The sequence below is a fragment of the Homo sapiens genome, chromosome 17, assembly GCF_000001405.40.
Source record: "Homo sapiens chromosome 17, GRCh38.p14 Primary Assembly".
Taxonomy (NCBI): Eukaryota; Metazoa; Chordata; class Mammalia; order Primates; family Hominidae; genus Homo; species Homo sapiens.
In genome coordinates this window covers 6,691,574-6,711,555 of record NC_000017.11, presented here as the reverse complement: position 1 = coordinate 6,711,555, position 19,982 = coordinate 6,691,574, and the positions used below count along the sequence as shown (strand labels likewise).

At 51.4% G+C, this 19,982-nt stretch overlaps 1 protein-coding gene across 5 annotated transcripts in view, besides 2 other annotated features; it reads left to right on the top strand.

Moving 5' to 3' along the window:
* Nucleotides 1–19,982, top strand: part of SLC13A5 (solute carrier family 13 member 5) — a 28,651-nt gene that overhangs the window by 1,814 nt on the left and 6,855 nt on the right. For 3 of the 5 annotated variants that reach the window (NM_001143838.3, NM_177550.5, XM_011523795.4), the window contains exons 2-9: nt 4,400–4,528; nt 4,778–4,914; nt 7,500–7,678; nt 8,418–8,586; nt 10,430–10,552; nt 15,615–15,830; nt 17,359–17,459; nt 18,394–18,512. In NM_001143838.3, the coding sequence (NP_001137310.1) occupies nt 4,400–4,528; nt 4,778–4,914; nt 7,500–7,678; nt 8,418–8,586; nt 10,430–10,552; nt 15,615–15,830; nt 17,359–17,459; nt 18,394–18,512 (1,173 nt within the window). The remainder of the gene's footprint in view (nt 1–4,399; nt 4,529–4,777; nt 4,915–7,499; nt 7,679–8,417; nt 8,587–10,429; nt 10,553–15,614; nt 15,831–17,358; nt 17,460–18,393; nt 18,513–19,982) is intronic. The other 2 variants (NM_001284509.2, NM_001284510.2) reach the window with 2 other exon arrangements.
* Nucleotides 7,836–8,546: an enhancer, noted in NCBI's record as "H3K27ac-H3K4me1 hESC enhancer chr17:6606329-6607039 (GRCh37/hg19 assembly coordinates)". NCBI's record gives its function as "activates a minimal SCP1, AML or CMV promoter by ChIP-STARR-seq in naive H9 embryonic stem cells {active_cell/tissue: H9 hESC(naive)}" and the evidence as "EXISTENCE:reporter gene assay evidence [ECO:0000049][PMID:30033119]".
* Nucleotides 9,695–10,607: an enhancer, noted in NCBI's record as "H3K4me1 hESC enhancer chr17:6604268-6605180 (GRCh37/hg19 assembly coordinates)". NCBI's record gives its function as "activates a minimal SCP1, AML or CMV promoter by ChIP-STARR-seq in naive H9 embryonic stem cells {active_cell/tissue: H9 hESC(naive)}" and the evidence as "EXISTENCE:reporter gene assay evidence [ECO:0000049][PMID:30033119]".

Sequence of the window (19,982 nt, the reverse complement as noted above, 5' to 3'; positions counted from 1 at the left end):
AAACACACACACAAAACACACAAAAAACACAAACACACACATACACATACACACACACACACACACACACCCTGAACTGGAAACCCTAACTCAGTGTGTGTGTATGTGTGTGTATGTGTGTGTGTGTAAGAGAGAGAGAGAGAGAGATTAAGCTGTCCTTTGAGTGAGGACCAGGGAGGGGAAGAAGAGAACCCAGGGAGAGTCCTTCCAAAGGCTGCCTTCACGAGCTTTCCTTCTGGCGGGGTTGGGTGAGGACCCTGGACCTTGTCTTCTTGTTTTTTCCCTTTCTGCCTGTTTTGGTCACCCTGCCCCCACCCTCCATGGCCGCCCCATTGTGCAAGGAAACCCAGAGGGTACACAGCACGGGCAGGGCAGCTGGGAAGCTGGTGAGAAGCTGGGAGGACCTTGGCAGCCTGAGCAACACAGTCCTTGCCAGGAGGTGACTCCCAGGGCACGCCACCCTCTGCCAACACCCAGGCCTCTCTCCTCACCGACTGTCTCCAGTTTTCCTGTCTCCACCTGGATTCCCTCCTGGCCTCATCTCTGCTCCACTCTCTCTATCCTTCCTCTGGGTCTTTTTTTAATTGAAAAAAAATTTAATGAAATAAATGATAGATTTCTTGTATCACTTATTTTATTAAAATGTAAAAGGTTTCTTTTTTGCAAATCTGTAAGATATAAAGTAAAAATAAAAGTACACTCAAATCCCATAAGTTATTCACATTTTGATGAACATCTTTCCAGATGAATCTCTCTCTCTCTTCCCAGACACACACACACACACACACACACAGTAGGTTTTGCCTGCATTTTTTCATTAAGTGGTGTGTCAGGACACCCTGCCTTGTTAATGTTGAACTTTTCTAACATCCGCTTCCCATCCTGCCCTCTCCCTTGACACTGTGGAGGCATTCTAGACTAGGGGGGTCAAGCCTGTTGACTTCAGGGATGAGGCACCTCCTGGGCTTCTAAATAGTGGCGCGGAGGTGAGGGGGCAGTTAACCTTGTGTCTCGTCCTCTTTCCTAGTGGGTCTGCTTGACTCCTCCAGGAACGCACAGTGTACATTGGTGACGCACGCCACCTACTGCTTCTAAGTTTAGAGAATCAAAAGTTACCGAGGACTTTGTGCGCCATATGGGAAGAATGAGCACTCTTAAATCCACGATTTGCAGATGAAGACATGAAACAAGAGGGGACAGGGACCAGGATTGGGAGCAGGAGGAGTAATTTATGAGCGACATTGTTTAGAATTGCTATCACTTGATGATAGTAAGAAGCAAACTAATTTTTAGCTAATATTATTGTTTTAAAATTCTCTCCAATGCGCCCTCTCATTGTCTGCCCCTGGAGGCATCATTCTGATGGCCTGCCCAGGGTACACCCCGACACCAAGCCCCAAGGAAGTTAGTGGCTGCCAAAGGCCAGACAGTGGCTGACAGTGGGCGCCAATCATATCTGTCTGGTGTCAAAGCCTGGGCTTCCAGTCACGCTGCTGTTCCGCCTTTAGTTCAGCGGCTGTCAACCAGCATTGACCCTTTCTCCTGCCCTCACCCTGCCCCACAACAGGGGAACTTTGGCAAAGTACAGAGACATTTTTTGCTGTCCAACCTGGAGACAGTCTTACTGGCATCTCATAGGTGGAGGCCAGCGGTGCTCTAAACACCCTGCAGTGCACAGCTCCCACAACAAAGCATCATTTAGCCCAAAATGTCAGTGTGCCGAGGCTGAGGGACCCTGCCTCCCAGTAGGGAGGTGCCCTGGTTTGCTCGTGGGATGCTGAAAAAAGATTTATTTTTTTGTGGCTGATAACACAACCCTGACAAAGAATTTCCAAGTCTTCCTGCACTGTTTTGTGCAAATAATACATACGCTCTTCTGGGTGATGAGAAGCAGGGATTGTGTACAGGTGCATCTGTTCTTCAGCAGCATTGTCAGAGTTAAACTCAGATGAATGCTATTGATTCCTTTAATAAACATTTGCAAAGATGGCCGGGCACAGTGGCTCATGCCTGTAATCCCAGCACTTTGGGAGGCCGAGACAGGTGGATCACGAGGCCAGGAGATCAAGACCATCCTGGCCAACATGGTGAAATCCCCTCTCTACTAAAAATACAAAAATTAGCCGGGCGTGGTGGCGCTTGTCTGTAGTCCCAGCTACTCAGGAGACTGAGGCAGGAGAATCGCTTGAACCTGGGAGGTAGAGGCTGCAGTGAGCCAAGATTGCACCACTGCACTCCAGCCTGGGGACAGAGCAAGGCTCTGTCTCAAAAATAAGTAAGTAAGTAAATAAATAAATAAATAAATAAATAAGCAAGAATTTGCAAAGATATCCTAAGTGTTGGGCCTGTTCTGGATGCTGAGGACGGTGATCTACAAATACAGCAGGTTCTTGAATAATGTTGATTCATTCAATATCATTTCATTATAATGTTGATGAGGGAGGGAAAAAAAAGGAAGGATCCCTTGAGCCCAGGAGATGGAGGTTACAGTGAGCTGTGACCGTGCCACTTCACTCCCACCTGGGCAACAGAGCCAGACCCTGTCTCAAAAAAAAAAAAAAAGAAATAAAAGAGCGAGAGAGAAAGAAAAGAAAATGATTACTGGCTGGGGCCACTGTCTGTGTGGAGCGTGCACATTACCCTCATGTCCACATGGCTTTTCTTTGGCTAGTATGGTTTCCTTCCACATCCCAAACCCGTGCACGTTAGGTGAATTGGAGTGTCTGTATGGTCCCTGTCTGAGTGAGCGTGGGCGTGCGTGTCAGTGTGCATTCTGCAATGGGATGGCATCTTGTCCAGGGCTGGTTTCCACCTTGTACCCTGAGCTGCCGGGACAGGATCTGGTCACCCAAGACCCTGACCTGCTGTAACTGGGTAAATAATTATCTAACTTGTTTTCAATGTTTCTTAAGTATATGTATAGCTCACATTCCCTTCAGTGTTTAATATTGGAAGTGTTTTGGTCTTTATTTAAGATCTCCGTGATGTTTTTGTGACCAGAAATATGCTGTAGAAATTTAACTGTTGTTTCTAGCAATTTGCCTATGGGAATATTGGCTTATGTTGTTTCGCTTACGCATTGCAATTTCCAAAAACCAATCAATGATGTTAAGTGAGGACTCACTGTACTGTTTGTGCTTTCGAGTCACGCACTGGTTGTGGTGGTAGAAGGACAGTTGAGGAAACAGTGACAACTCCATATGCTAATGGCTGGGGAGGGTACTCAGAGGAAGGGCACAAACCAGACTATAGAAGAGGCGCAGGGAGACATCTAAGAAGGAACTCTGAGGTTGGGCGCGGTGGCTCACGCCTGTAATCCCAGCACTTTAGGGTGCTGAGGTGGGCGGATCATGAGGTCAGGAGTTCGAGATCAGCCTGGCCAATGTGGCAAAACCCCGTCTCTACTAAAAATACAAAAATTAGCAGGGCGTGGTGGCAGGTGCCTGCAATCCCAACTCCGGAGGTTGAGGCAGGAGAATCGCTTGAACCCGGGAGGTGGAGGTTGCAGTGAGCTGAGATTGTGCCATTGCACTCCAGCCTGGGCAACAGGATCGAAACTCTGTCACACACACACACACAAAAAATACTGATGAAACATAAAACAACCTAGGGAGGTGGCTAGTTTTATCACATAATTATTATTACTTTTATTTCAATAGCTTTAGGGGTACACGTAGTTTTCGGTTACATGAATGAATTGGATAGTGGTGAAGTCTGAGATTTTAATCCCTCCCTCCTATCCCACCCTGTCTGCTTCTAAGTCTCCAGTATCCATTCGACCACGCTATATACCTCTGGATACCCATAGCTTAGCTCCCACTTATAAGGGAGAACATGCACTATTTGGCTTTCCATTGCTGAGTCACTTCTCTTAGAACAATGGCCTCCTAGGCGGCAAGAGCGACACTCCATCTCAAAAATAAAATAATAATAAAACCAAAAAAACCAGGTATTTTATTCTTCTTCTCCTTCTCCTCTTCCTCCTTTCTTTTCTTCCTTCTCCATCCCCCTTCCTCTCTTTCTTCTATCCCCTCCTCCTCCTTCTCCTCCTTCTCCTTCTTTCTCCTTTTCTTCCTTGTCCTATTCTTGATCTTTTCTTTTGAGAGGCAGCTAATCCAAGGTTTGAGAAGATGAAAGAACGTGCCTAGAACCACACAGCTGGGAAGGAGGGAGGCAGGGAGGAGGGGTGGGAATGGGGCAGGAGTCCTTTGCGAATAGATCCCTGGCCTGACCCGGGAAAGCTGTGCTGACCAGGGCTGGGGAACAAGATGACTTTGAGGGGAATCCCTCTGAGATCAGCACTGTGTCTTGACAATCCATGCCAGCCGCCGTCCGGAGTGTTCTGGGGGTGGGGAGAGGGAGGCGGCAACACGCTGAGGCCTCAGGACTGTCTCTTCAGTTTGTCAGGTGTGCCTACGTCATCATCCTCATGGCCATTTACTGGTGCACAGAAGTCATCCCTCTGGCTGTCACCTCTCTCATGCCTGTCTTGCTTTTCCCACTCTTCCAGATTCTGGACTCCAGGCAGGTGAGCAGACCCAAGGGATCCTGGTGACTTTCTGGTTCTCCCCTTCTCTCTTTCTCTAGTCCCCACTGTGAGTCGCACAGGCCTGGGGGTGACCGGAAAACCCTCATTTGTGGATTCTCCCTGGCAGGGAGACACCACTCGAGCCTGCATCCCCACTCCAAGCTGTCCCTGAAGTCAGCATCTGGGGACTGGGTGGCTCTAGTGTGTGGCAAGGGACAGTCCTGATGAGGCCTTCGTGCCACGCTCCAGGTGTGTGTCCAGTACATGAAGGACACCAACATGCTGTTCCTGGGCGGCCTCATCGTGGCCGTGGCTGTGGAGCGCTGGAACCTGCACAAGAGGATCGCCCTGCGCACGCTCCTCTGGGTGGGGGCCAAGCCTGCACGGTAATTACGCCTTCTCTCTCTTGCCACGTGGCTCTGCATGAGCCCCAGGGCTGGAAGGGGGTGGAGGATGGCACAGACCAGGCCATCCACTGGTGAGGGCTGGCCATGGGCTTACCTGGACTTGGCTGGGTGGGGTGCGTTATAGCTTTAGTGGGAGAGACCAGATGCATGCGTGGTGGTGGCACATGGTGAGCAGCAGTAAGTAAGGGTCCTCGAATCCAGAGGAGGTGGGTCAGCAAGAGTCCTTGCAGGCTTGGAAGGCTTTCTGGGGGAGGCAGCTAGCTGCAGGGTTCCACCGGGAACAAATTGGATAGAGGCTGGATCAAGCTGTGTCTGATAGGATAAGGGAAGCAGGCCAGAAGTGGCTCAACTACCCAGCTCATGGGGAAGCAGAAAGGTCCTCTCTCCAAGCTGGAGCATCTATTCCCACTGCAAAGAAGCTTCTTATCTTCCCCGATATCACTCAGTACCCCAGCTTCTCTCTCCATTTCCAGGATCTCTCCTGCCAATCTAGCTAGCCATTTCCAGCTAAGCCATGGAGTCAATATAATCATAATCATAACCATAATCAATCATGATCATAATGGGTATATTGAGTGTCTACAAGGCCCCAGGCATGATACCAGGAGCTTATGAATTGCCTCATTTAATTCTTACCACAACTCTGAGAGCTGAGTATTCTTACTGCCCACATTCTGTGGATGAGGGATTGGAGGCAGAGAGGGATAAAGTGATTTGCTCATGGACACACGGGGATTGGACCCAGCTTCTCTGATAAGGCCTGTGTCCTCTCTAATCAGAAACTCAGGGCATATCTTCCTTTTGAGACAATGTGTCCCCTCAATGATGGCACGTCCTTGGCCCAGCCATCAGGAGTCAGCTGCTGGTCAGTTTACGGTAAATTCCTCCTGAGGCGCCCCTGTGTCAGGGGCTGTGCTAGACCCTGAGCACACACAGACGCTAGCCTGCCCTGCAGGCAACCCATGCCCGGGGCTCCCTTGGTGCCTCAGATTCCCCTGAGCAGGGGACTTTGTGGCTCTCTGATCTGTTACACATCCTGGCATTGATTCCTTCCAGTAATTGCTTTAGCATCAAATCAAAAGCCATCATATTTTCTAGAAATGAGAGACCCCAGGAAAGTGGACCTCAGGGCCCTCAGAATTCTTCTGCTTGGCTCCCTTGAGTGGCCAGCTTGGGTGGGAGGCCACTCCAGTGGGTTTCATTCTGCAGCATGCTGGAGAGCTTCCACTTCCAAACCCAAGTTCACACATGCTTCTGTATCCTTCCTGCCACCTTGCTCCTCTGAGTATGGTCTCCGGTTGTCCAAGGCACTGCCTGTCCTGGGAGTCACCTGTATGTGAGGCACCCTTGGTGCCTTGAGATATCATGTAGAAGCCTTGGTTCTTCTCAGACAACTCCATTCATGCAAACTCTCCCCCTCCTCCTAGCCTGGGTCCCGGGCTTTGTTTTTTTTTGGGTCCATAATGTCTGCCTGTGTGGACAGCAGCTTGGGCCCTGGTGCAGAACAGCTCCTAGGTCCCTTCTTCAGGCTCCTACCCCTGCCCCTGCTCCTACCCCCAGGTGAATTAGGAGCCCTGAGGAGGAGCCTGGCTGCAGCGAGGCCCACAGACTGAGAGTAGCTGAGCTCCTTCTGTCCCTAGCCTTGGACAGCTGGGGCATGTAGAGCCACAGAGCAGAGTCAGGCCCTGCCCTGCTCACAGCCCAAGGAGAGAGCAGACATGGAAACAGGTGCTTTGAACCCAGCACAGCGATGATTAGAGTAGGGGGAAGGATTGAGAAGGGTCAGGCCAGCCCCACCTGGTGCACACACTGAGAGCGTGGTCCCAGAGGAGGGATGTTGTTTGAGCAGGCTCTGAAGGACCATGAGGAGTCTTCCTGATAGACAGCAGAGAAGGGAGCAGGGGTTACAAGCAAAGGGAGTGTTTCTTCTGAATACTGTTTGTGTGATAGCTCCACTGCAGCATGGAGGGGTCAAAGTGTATGTGCGGGGCGGAGGGGAGATGGCAGGGTTGGAGTGGCAGCCGGGAGAATAGTCACACTTTCCCAAGCTCCCTCCCCAGCTCACCCTACCCCTACTCTGCTTAGCCCTTCTGAACTTCTGAGAGGTGCAACAGAGTTTGGGGGTGGGTGGGAATTTCCTAGCCAGAAGTGGGAAGCTGGGGCTGCCTGCACATAGGGGTATTCCAGCACACCCTAGGGCAAGCTCATATTGAGTTGGCACCATCTGGATGCCTGGGCTTCCCCTGCTAGATGGTGGGGCAGGGGTGCTCCTTAGAACCACGACTGGATCTGAGGCCTCTTGGTAACCCCAGAAGCAAGCAGAGTAGACATCAGTCATGGGTGTGGGAGAGGCAGGAGGGAGAGAGGAATGGAGGAAGCAAAGAAGGGAAGGAGGGAGGGAGGGGAGGCTCTAAAACCGTCATCCCTATTCCAATATCTGATCTTGAATTGGCCTCAACACCTGTGCATCCCTGCAGGGGTGGACCCAGTCCCCAGTTGCTTCCCAGGGAGTACGGGGGTGGGGTGGGGATTCTCTGGCTTTCCTCCCTGCCCCTCCTCTGCAGGCTGATGCTGGGCTTCATGGGCGTCACAGCCCTCCTGTCCATGTGGATCAGTAACACGGCAACCACGGCCATGATGGTGCCCATCGTGGAGGCCATATTGCAGCAGATGGAAGCCACAAGCGCAGCCACCGAGGCCGGCCTGGAGCTGGTGGACAAGGGCAAGGCCAAGGAGCTGCCAGGTGAGCCCCTGGCCAGGGCACTGCCAGGCCACAACAGCAGCCTTCCCCTCCCTCTGCTGGCAAATGCTTTGGCCACCTCCTTCTCCCTGTCTGCTTCCCGGAGCCCTCCTTTAAACACGCATAGAGAAAAAAAAATAGAAAATACTGTTGTCCTAAGTTTTAGGAGGGGATTATTGCACACAACTTAGATCCTTTAATAGAGCTTTGAACAAAGTCTCACCCTCAGTTCCCATCAGTTGCAGAAATCAGTGTGTTCACCTGATTATTCATTTGGGCATCTTTCGAGCACTTAGGGATGCCCCTCACTCCTTGCTACTCCTGCTCATCCTCAAGGAGGCCTTTTCTGACCTCCTCGAGCAGCTCAAATCCTTCCACTCTCTGCTCCCATAGGTCTGGGGCTTGGCGTCCCATGCTTGCTTCCCTGCTAGGTGCGAAGCTCAGGGAAGACGAGTCAGCATCTACCTTGCCGTCTGCCGTGTTCCCTTACCATCCCCAGCCCAGTGCAGTAGAGTCAGGGTCTGTGGCTGACGGCCTGATTGCCAGACCCTGGGCAAGGTCCTGGGGCTTACAGAGAGGAATCGGGCACATCCCTGCCAGCAACTCTTATGGAGCCCAGTGGGGCAGCTAAATCAGCAGAGCTGGGATTTCCCAATCCTCAGGTCAGCAGCAGAGTCAGGACCTGGGGCTGGGTGGGCAGCCCCCATGACTGGCTCAGCTAACAGCGCTGTGCCCACCACAGGGAGTCAAGTGATTTTTGAAGGCCCCACTCTGGGGCAGCAGGAAGACCAAGAGCGGAAGAGGTTGTGTAAGGCCATGACCCTGTGCATCTGCTACGCGGCCAGCATCGGGGGCACCGCCACCCTGACCGGGACGGGACCCAACGTGGTGCTCCTGGGCCAGATGAACGAGTGAGTCCTTGGTCGCACCTTCTGGGGACAACGAAGTGGGTACCGGGGCTGGAGGGACCTGCCCACCTCTCTCTGCTCCTCTGCAGAGTCCTGGAAAGCCTCGGGGCAGCCAGACCTGGCCTGGGAGCCTGGCAGGGGTGGAAAGATGTGGCCCCATCTAGCCTCTGTGTCCTGGCACCCCTGTGCCCACACAGAAGCCTTAGAGAGGATAGGGAGCTGATGTCAGGGGAGCTAACGTCCCAGTCTGCTTTCTGCTATGATGCAAGACCCACCACCTCCCCTGGGGTCAGGGACTCTGGCTCAGAGAGGGAGTGTGGATTGAACTCTGAGCTAAAGTCATGGCAGATGACAATGTACTTCCAGACGCTGGGTCCTTGGTTGAAACTTGTAGAAAATAGACACCTCTAAAAGACTCCCCAGCACTCCCTTTGCTCACTGCTTTTGGTGGCTAATGGTGATGGCCCCATGGCATCCGAGGTCTACAGATGGTATGAAGGGCTGGGGTTGGGTCATTCACTGCTTCACTGCTTCGTTATAGTCCCCTTGTGAGGTATCAGGTGAACCATGGGATGGTTTGGAACTTTCTAGCCTTGGCCACAAAGGGATGCAGGCCATGAGGACCCCAAGAGGGAGAGAAACCTGGGCCCTGCCGCGGGGTAGTCATGGTCTGTTGAGGGTGGCAAGATGCCTGGGGCTTCCAGGCATGTCTGGTACATAAATGTACTAATTGAGGTATGTACTAATTGCAGTGGGCAGGCACAAAAATAAGGTGATGCCATCCTTTGCAGACAGGAGCCTGGACAGGGGTGGGGAGGGCAGTGGGCGCAGGAGCTGGGAGGTGGAAAGGACAGGTCTGGAGCCTGGCTGGGCAGAAACGTGAGGTTCAACAACCCGTTTGTTTTAATTTCGGGAGTGTTTTCTGTAATGATATCCTTACAGTTCTCCAGTAACTTTCTTTGGGAAGAGCAGCCCGTCTGGGCTGAGTGGGGAAAGCTCTGCGCCTGCTTTGACACTCTTGAGCTAAAGGGGGCGCCCCTGGGGCTAGCAGAGCCCCGGGGATGGGAGGCGGGGCCTGTGGTGGAAGTGACCCTCCTCCAGCCTCCGCTCTGGGAAGCTTTTGAGATTTCCTTTGCTAAGTGGGGGGACCGTTCTTTGCAGAAACCCACAGAGCGAGATTGCTGAGGTCTCTGCAGATCCCCAAAGATGTCAGCCAAATTACATGCATGTGTATAAAAGGTGTATTTTTCTTTTTTTTCTTTTTGAGACAAGTCTCGCTCTGTCGCCCAGGCTGGAGTGCAGTGGCGCGATGTTGGCTCACTGCAACCTCTGCCTCCTGGGTTCAAGCGATTCTCCCGCTTCAGCCTCCCTATTAGCTGGGATTACAGGCGCCCGCCACCATGCCTGGTTAATTTTTGTATTTTTAGTGGAGACGGGGTTTCACCATGTTGGCCAGGCCAGTCTTAAGCTCCTGACCTTGTGCCCCACCTGCCTCGGCCTCCCAGAGTCCTGGAATTACAGGCGTGAGCCCCTGCGCCCGGCCACAAAGTTGTATTTTTCTGGAGGGATGGGCCATAACTTCCATGAGACTCTTAGCAAGGCCTGGACACACAGAAGAGTCAGTGGGTCATTTCTCGGCCTTGTCTTGTGCTGTGGCCATGTTCTGAGGCTCCCACTCGATTAGGGGACAATGCTTGGCAATGGACTTGGTGGCTAGACCTCAGGAGGATGTGGCCTCCACACAGGCGCGCCTCTCAGGGCCCAGCTGCTGCTCCGTCCCCACGCACAGGGCCAGGCTGGCTCCCACAGCTCAGCATCTGAGGTGGGGGCCGGTGTCTTCTTGTAGGTTGTTTCCTGACAGCAAGGACCTCGTGAACTTTGCTTCCTGGTTTGCATTTGCCTTTCCCAACATGCTGGTGATGCTGCTGTTCGCCTGGCTGTGGCTCCAGTTTGTTTACATGAGATTCAAGTAAGTTTGAGCTGCTCACAGCCTAATTATGCCTAATTATGCCTCAAAGCTGCAGAAGAGCCCTCAGACTCAATAGGCAGGTTTACAAAGTCCTTCGTGTCTGGCCCTGATCTTTCTCCAGCCCTGTCTCCTGCTAGTCTGCCCTCCTGTTCCTTCGAACCCAGGCTGCTCACTGAGCTTTGTGCACACGTGGTCCCCTTTCCCTGGAATGCCATTCTCTACCTTCCCACCTCCTCAGCCTTCAAGGCTAGTTCAAATGCTGCTTCCCTGACTTTTCCCCACCCCCATTCCATCTCTGAGCGGCCCCTGGGCATATCACAGGCCTGTCCTTTAGTATCTGCATTTGGCTTCCGGTGACTTTGAATTCCTCCAGAACCACTCTGATGCTGGGCACCCCGCACAGCTCCCAGCACAGGGAGGAAGAGCAGGCAGGTTAAAGCAATTAAAGATAAGCTGGTCCCCACGTGCCAGTTCGACATTGCTGGACAAGCTTCCTCTTTGCCGTGTGGGTCCATCAGGCCAGGTCACCGCAAACCTGTGACTTAGCTCTGAGCTGAGCGCATACGCTCTGTGCCTCAATGCACGGGGAGTTTAAGTCGAGTAAAACCAGCAGTGATTATGACCAAATCCATCCAAACCCAGACATTTACTGAATACCTCTGGTGTTCCCAGCAGTGTACAGGTCCTAGAAAGTTTACCTTCCTGTTCCTAGCACACAGGCAAGTTCATCAGGGGTCACCTTTGATGGCAGCCAGACTTTGGACAGAAACCATGACCTGTGGCTGACAAATAGCTAAAAAAAAGTTATTGTTTTTCTAAAACACACAAATTTATCTGTGGTGCAAAGGTGATCAGGCCACACCAGGATAGAAAGTACTCAGCTCTGAGTTAAGTGCCTGTGCTCTGTGCCTCCATCCACAGGAAGTTCGAGCCAAGTCAAACCAGGGGAATTTGTGACCAGAGGGAAGAGACTGCAGAGCTCAGAGGCAAAAGTGCCCACGGAAACCTGTGATTTTGTGGGGAAAATAGGGAATTTTCCTAAGTTTTCTTCTGAAGGAGGAACTGTTTTGAAAACTCCCATTAAAAAGTTGCTATACAGGCCGGGCGCGATGGCTCACACCTGTAATCCCAACATTTTTGGAGGCCGAGGTGGGCAGATCGCCTGAGGTCAGGAGTTTGTAACCAGCCTGGCCAACATGGTGAAACCCCGTCTCTACTAAAAATACAAAAATTAGCCGGGCGTGGTAGCCCACGCCTGAAATCCCAGCACTTTGGGAGGCCAAGGAGGGCGGATCGCCTGAGGTCAGGAGCTCGAGACCAGCCTGGCCAACATGGTGAAACCCCATCTCTACTAAAAATACAAAAGTTAGCTGGGCATGGTGGCACATGCCTGTAACCCCAGCTACTTGGGAGGCTGAGGCAGGAGAATTGCTTGAAGCCGGGAGGTAGAGGTTGCAGTAAGCCAAGATCATGCCACTGCACTCCAGCCTGGGCGACAGAGCAAGACTCTGTCTCAAAACAAAAAAAAAAGTTGCTATACATATTCAAAACAATCATAATAATGATAGTAAGAATGACAATATTAATGATCATTGCCCAAACCCCACTCTGTCCTGCCCATGGACGGGGCAGGGGAAACTGTTTGCATGGCTGCCTGGCCACCCAGCCTGGCTTTGACAGTAGCTCTCTTTGCCCTGCCTCTTGAATCTGCACCAGGGCCAAAGTCCTGTTCATTTGTTCACATCCGTCGAACAGGTCTCTCAGGAGATGGTCCTGAACCTGCTGCAGGTGAGCATCTGTGTCTCCTCATGGGGCAACAGGAATAATAATGACCAACATTTATTGAGTGCTCATCATGTGCCAGACATGATTTCGAGCGCTCTTTTCCTTTCTTTATTTTATTTTATTTTATTTTATTTATTTATTTATTTATTTATTTATTTATTTATTTATTTATTTTTGAGACAGTGTCTTGCTCTGTCACCCAGGCTGGAGTGCAGTGGTATGATCTCGGCTCGCTGCAACCTCCACCACCTGGGTTCAAGCAATTCCCCCTGCCTCAGCCTCCCAAGTAGCTGGAATTACAGGCACCCACCACCACCATGCCTGGCTAATTTTTGTATTTTTTAGTAGAGATGGGGTTTTGCCATGTTGGCCAGGCTGGTCTTGAACTCCTAACCTCCGGTGATCCGCCCTCCTTGGCCTCCCAAAGTGCTGGCGTTACAGATGTGAGCCACCTCGCCTGGCCCAAGCACTCTTAAACTTAATTAATTTTCACAACAACCTGCGAGGTCAGCACTATTATTATTATTCCCAATTTACAGACAAGGCAACTGAGGCATGGAGAGGTGATGTGGTCAACACAGAGCTTTGTAACAGGGAAGTAGGGGGACTGAGACTTGAACCCAGGCCCTTTGGCTCCCACTGCATGGCATCCCCTCTTGGGGAGGCTGAGGGTTGCTGTCCTTAGTTGCCTCCAGACCTAAGCATGACCAGGTGTCAGAAACACTAGTTGGGGCCGGGGCTGCCCTAGAACCCCAAGGCCTACTGAGAAAGAGGAGGGAGATAGCATGGCGCCGAGGCCGCAAGGGCACCATCAGCTTCTTGTCTGGCCAGAGGCAGATGTCAGGCCCCTGGAGACTCACAGCCAGAACCTGAAGCTGAGTCCACCCAGCCTGGCACGGCCTTCATCAGCTTTTGTTGACTGGCGGGGGAGCCTGAGAGTGTCTGCAGCAGGGGGCTTCTGAGCATGCTCGTGGTGGGGTGCGTGGCTGCAGTCCAGTCCCACCCCTTCCCCTTCCCGACGGGCCACTCTAGTTTGGACGCATGCAGTGTGGCTGGCCGGGGTAGCTCACGGCAGCTTTGTTTTGGCTCCAGATCTGGAAGGTAGAGGACAGCTTTTACATTCGGTTTGAGTGGTGGGAACAGTGCTCTGGCCCAGGCCACGTCCTGCCACAAACTAAGACCTGGTGGTCCCTGCCTGCCTTTGTGGCCTCATGGACCTCCCCACCTGAGGCCAGGGAGCACCTGTCTCAGCGGCAGGAGGCAGCTCCACTGTCAGCTGTTGCTCTCACTAGAGTTCCTCATCTGAACGATCCTGGAGAACGAGGTTAAGTTCTTGGCCTCTAGCCTAATCCAGAACAACTATCTTGCTGAAGAGCCTAGTGCAGCCTCCTAGGCTATATCTAGCCAAAGGGGCCAGACCCCACCCCAGGACCACCAAGAACTACATGGGATATTATTACTGGTTATACCTAACTGTCCCAACCAGGCTTACCTCCTGTAATAGCCATGAGGGTTCTTTGGGACCCCTGCCAGGGCAGAGGCATGCAAAGCTCAAGAATCTCTCCCCTCTTGTTGGCTCTGCAACATATTCAGTCCAAGTTCACCATGGTGCATCATGGTGAAGGCTGTTCTGCTGCAGGAGGACTCTGTGGTCCCCACCCCTGACCCTGACCTAGGCCCCTCACAGGCCAACTGGATCCATTTACTTGCATCTCATGCCAGCCTGGTCATCACCAGATGAAATTAACCCAGAGATGAGAGCAAAGCTGCTCAGCACGAGAGACTCTGAAGGCTTGGCGGTACCACTGTGGGGCACTGGCATTGGAAGACTGCATACTCCATGCAGCCCCAGAGTCTGCAGCTACTGTGGTGTTGGGGATGAGCTGCCAGCACCAAATGCAGGCTCTGGCTCCTGGGCCACTAGTAATACCAAGGTCACCCCTTATGCTGGAAACCTGAAGCCCCTGGCTGAGCCCCAGGGTCTCTAGGACGACAGTTGGCAGCAGAGAGGTGCTTGGTAGAGCACAAACTTTACTAAGCCAAGGGTGTGGCAGCAGAGAGGCCCTGTCTTACACCAGCAGAGCCATCCCTGTGCCGGATGTCTAGAGAGTGTCCCTAGCGGGTGACCCTCAGGACACACGGCCTTGCCCAGCAGGGAGATCCTAGCCAGCCGTGTAGACCTGAGGTCCCATCAGTGTTGCCTCCTTTTCTGACCCCTGAGCACCCCAGAAAGCTGTGACCTGATGTCCTGGTGTCCCCATGTTCCAGGCCAAGCCACCATCACACCAACACTTGGCCCTCACACTCTCCAAGGCTGTTCACATCCAGCACTGGCTTCAGGAATGAGCTCCTATTCCATCAACCCCTTCCCTCCTATGATTATGTCTCATGGCCCCCGGAAGGGCTCTCACGAGGGAGGGCTCTCCAGGACAATACTCTTGGCCTTGCCCACCCCTTCAAACCAACAGTGGCTGGAACTGGAATGTGTGAATGGAATATTCAGCATACCTTGAGGCCTTAGTCCTATGCACAGTGGCCCCAGTTATCCCCCCTCCACAGCTGAGCTCCCCTTTACACCTCCTCCAAGAACCTCCTCTCCTCCCTGCCTCCTCATGCCAACGCCACCTTAGGGGAGGCCCTGCAGGACACCCTGGACAATGGACACTGGTCCCAAGGGGGCCCATCCAGGATGGGGGTGCCATCCTGGGCTGTCTTCCTTCTTGCCCTAGCCATGCTTGCTGCTAACCCCAGGGTCTCCTGGATCCCTAATCCTGCACCTCCAACTCCAGGGAACACAAGGACCCATTCTGCCCCTGACTAGCCCTGTCTGCCAGGGTTCATACTCACTCCCTGCATCTCCCTGAGCCACCTTGGTGATGGGGGTTGGCATCCCAACACCATCGAAGGCAGCTCCAGGCTGAGGTGGAAGGAGGAAGACTTGGGAAGCATGTGAGGGAGCCCTGTTCCCACCTTGCGCAGGCTCCGAAGCTCCTTATGGCCTTCCCCCAGGTGACCCTGGAGCAGCCAGTCTCCAGGTGTCTGGGCACCTGCCGAGACCCTCTAGCCTCTCTACAGAGACTTTTCCCTAGTACATTCTGGGATGGAAGAACAGGAGAGGGAAAGAGGCAGGAAGGGCCTTTCTCCAGGCCCCATAGCAGGCGAGGACAGCATTATGTGTCTTTTTGCTACATTCTGCTGTAGAACATTTAGGCTCCATCTGACCAGCACCTGAGCCAACCAGTCTGCCCTGCCCTTCTCTCATCTTTGCATTCTCCAGTTTTAAAAAGTCCTGGGGCTGCGGGCTAGAGAGCAAGAAAAACGAGAAGGCTGCCCTCAAGGTGCTGCAGGAGGAGTACCGGAAGCTGGGGCCCTTGTCCTTCGCGGAGATCAACGTGCTGATCTGCTTCTTCCTGCTGGTCATCCTGTGGTTCTCCCGAGACCCCGGCTTCATGCCCGGCTGGCTGACTGTTGCCTGGGTGGAGGGTGAGACAAAGTAAGTCTTGGATTCAATAGAAATCGCTGGCTTAGGGCCAGGCGCGTTGGCTCACACATGTAATCCCAGCACTTTGGGAGGCTGAGGTGGGTGGGTCACTTGAGGTCAGGAGATCGAGACCATCCTGGCCAACATGGTGAAACCCTGTCTCTACTAAAAATACAGAAAATTAGCGAGGCATGGTGGCACATGCCTGTAGTCCCAGCTACTTGGGAGACTGAGGCAGGAGAATCACTTGAACCCAGGAGGCAGAGGTTGCAGTGAGCCCAGATCGTGCCACTGCACTCCAGCCTGGGCAACAGAGAGAGACTCCGTCTCAAAAAAAGAGAAAGAAAGACACCACTGGCTTAGTGCACTAGTGCCTAAATGCTGCTGGTCTCGGCTACAGGTGGCAAGAGGAATGTGGGCCAGGCACTCATGCTTGGTCAAGACTTTTCCTCTTTTGGGAGCTGGGTTTCAGAGAGCACTCTGTTGGTTTCATGACTCATTTTTGTTTTCTGACCAAGCTCCACAATAAGACCCTAATGTGTTCCTGTGGTATCCTCTCCTCCCTGAGTAGGCTGAGCAGAAAATCCTTGGCCAGGCAGGGTGGCCAGAGCTGTGATGAGAGAGATTTCTTGGGCTAGGAGTAGGGTTCCCAGAGCTCTAGTTTCCAAATCTCTGCTCTGCCATCTTCCCTTTCTCATCTTCACATCTGGTCAAATCCCTCCAAAGGCACACATCTAGGGAGCTTCATAGACAGAGACTTGGCAAAGGGGGTACATGTAGTTTCTCTCCTGGCTAAGACGTTGTCAGAATGGAAGAAAGGATGAGAAACATGTACATCCTAGAAAAGGCAGAAGATGTGGGCAGGGAGATGCTGGTATGATGGCCATTTCGTTTTGAAGGTCGGCTTAGGTCAGCACCAAAGTCTTCATGGTCACCCTGGTGAACCCAGACAGAATTCTAGAGAACCTGGTCAAGAAGAGGTCCTGAAATACACTTATGGAGAATGCACGCTGAGAGGGGGAAGTAAACTGCTTAGGATCACCCAAAGTTGGTGGTCAAGAGTGTGGGCATCTTGATTTCTAGCCAGGATTCAGTCTCCCATACCACTCTTATTTTTTTATTTTTTTGAGACAGAGTCTCACACTGTCACCCAGGCTGGAGTGCAATGGCATGATCTCAACTCACTGCAACCTCCACCTCCCAGCAATTCTCCTGCCTCAGCCTGCCGAGTAGCTGGGATTACAGGCGCCCGCCAGCATGTCTGGCTAATTTTTTGTATTTTTAGTAGAGACGGGGTTTCACTATGTTGGCCAGGCTGGTCTTGAACTCCTGACCTCGTGATCCGCCCGCCTCAGCCTCCCAAAGTGCTGGGATTACAAGTGTGAGCCACTGCACCTGGCCACCACTCTTGACCTTGACTTTTAAGGCTGTGAGCCTGTTTCTTTGCATAGAAGCATTTGGACACAGAACTGCCGGAGTTGTGATGGGTTTGTTGAGTGACTGTCTCTGTCGCAGATGAGCTGTGCTTTTCCCCACCTAGGTATGTCTCCGATGCCACTGTGGCCATCTTTGTGGCCACCCTGCTATTCATTGTGCCTTCACAGAAGCCCAAGTTTAACTTCCGCAGCCAGACTGAGGAAGGTAAGTCTCCTGTTCTGATCGCCCAGTCATCAGGACTGGAGCCCTGGAACCAAAGGGTCACTATGGGATGCCTTGGGCCCTAGAGGGAGAAAATCCCATCATATCCAAGAGGATTGGCTACAAAAGCCTGGGAAACAGTGGCTTTCAAGCCACCGGTGGTATTATTTAGTGCAAAATATCTTTTTTGCTTTTTAACATTTGAATTTAACATTTGAAATTTTATTTATATTACAACAGGAACAGAAAATGTTTCAAATTTTCCATAACACTGATTTCCATTCAGCACAATTTTTTGTTTTCTCTCTTCCTCCCAGTCTTTGCTAATATGCCTGTATATTACATTATAATCAACACACACAGTTTGAATCCTATTTGTTTGTTGTTTCTTCTACCACTTTTGATTGATATTACACTATAAACATTTCCCACTATTGCTACAGTCTTCAAATATATTTTCTCTAATAATGGCATTATATTGCGTTGAGGGGTTGTAATCATTCTCCTGTTATAGAACATTTTGGCTGTTTTGAATTTTTTATTTTCATAAATTAATGTTTTCTTGCATATAGCTTTTCCTTTGAGGGTATTTTTTCTTTAGGATAAACTTCTAGGAGTAATATTGCTGGGGTGATAGAATACAAAGTCTTAATGGCCCTTAAAATGTATGGCCAAATTGCTTTTCAAAAAGGTCATACCAATTTACGATGCTATTGGCAGTGTGTGTAATAGTTTGATCATATCCTCACCAGCAATGTATATATTATTGTAAACTTTAGCTAATTTATAAGTAGGAGATGGTACCTCATTGTCCTTATTAGCTTTATTCCCCCTTGATTAGATTTCTTTTGTCTTCTAATGCTGCTCTGGTGTGTGTGTGTGTGTGTGTGTGTGTGTGTGTGTGTGTGTGTGTGTGTGTGTTTCTTTTTCTTCCCAGAAAGGAAAACTCCATTTTATCCCCCTCCCCTGCTGGATTGGAAGGTAACCCAGGAGAAAGTGCCCTGGGGCATCGTGCTGCTACTAGGGGGCGGATTTGCTCTGGCTAAAGGATCCGAGGTAACTTCTCCAGCCACAGGCTGCCCAGAGCCCTCTTCTTCGTCAAGAGGGTGGCGTTTCTCCACCCTTCCATCCCTGGGCTTGTGTGTTTCTGTGCCTGCATCCTTCGTATAACCGCACATTCCTTGAGGACATGGACTCTGTCTTGTCATCTAGGAACTCTACACCACACACAGGGCCTGGAAGACAGAAAGTAACCTTTGAGCGATTGCAGGAATGAGTGAATGAGTGACCGTGGTTAGCCAAGAGAGGCAGAGGACACTGTCAGTTACCCTCTGGGGCTTGATCACAATAATCTCTGCTTTGATTTGTCTGAGGGAAATCTTTCTTTCCAATCCTTGTCAATATTGTTTGCTACTACTTTTGGTCCTTCTACTGGCTACTTAACATGGTAGCTACTTCAAAATTTTTCTTTAGCTAAGTATGTAGCAGCGTAGGAGGTGAGGAACATGTTGGAAAACACACAAAAATATAACTTTCTTTACCTCCTTCTTTCCCTCCTGGGGAAGAAATGAGCCAGAGGGAGGGATGAGCTAGCTTGCTGCTGCTGTCCTCCAACCAACCATCTACCTACCCAAGTATCCAGGAGTGTAATAGACAGACTTGGTCTAGTTATTGCTGTTTCTTCAATATCTAGGACACAGCCTGGTGCCTAGTGGGTGCTAAGTTTTTGCGGAGGTGAACAAATCCATCCATCTAGTCACCTCTCCATCCATCATCCATGCATCTATTCATGTCTTCATCCATCCATCCGTCCGTCCATCCGTCCATCCATCCATCCATCCATCCATCCATCCATCCATCCATCCATCTGTCCATCCATCCACCCATCTATCTATCCACCCATCTATCTATCCATCCATCCATCCACCCATCTATCCATCCATCCATCCATCCATCCATCCATCCATCCATCCATCTATCCATCCATCCATCCAACATTCCTATTATGTCCCTAGTGTTATGCCAGGCACAGAGATTACAGAGGAGATTGAGATACGGTCCCTGTTCGTGGCAGACTTCACAGACTAGGGAGGGGCACATATATGAAAGGGCATTTCAGGAAGTAGCACACGAGCAAGGGAAAAATGTGAGGTATTTAGCTGAGGAGAAGTAGAAGATGAGGCTGGTAAGGCTACCAGAAGCCACTTCTCTGAGGGCCCCAAGATAGAGGGGTGTGGACTTGATCGTGAATGCAGTAGACAGCCACTGAAGGACTGAGGCCAGGGGGTGAGTTGGTCAGATCTGCACATGAGGAAATCACTCTGATGTCTGGAGTGGGGGCCTGGGCTGGGCAGGGCTTGGAGGAGAACTAGCTGAGACTCTGCAGCCTTCCATCTCACTCAGGCTCAGAACTTTGGACTCTGTGGACATTCTCTCCTCCTTTGGCCCCCAGCTCAGCACAGTCTCCAGCTTTACTTCGGACTCAGACTATTCCTGCTCAGCCTTCGTTGCTGACTTCTCTGTTCT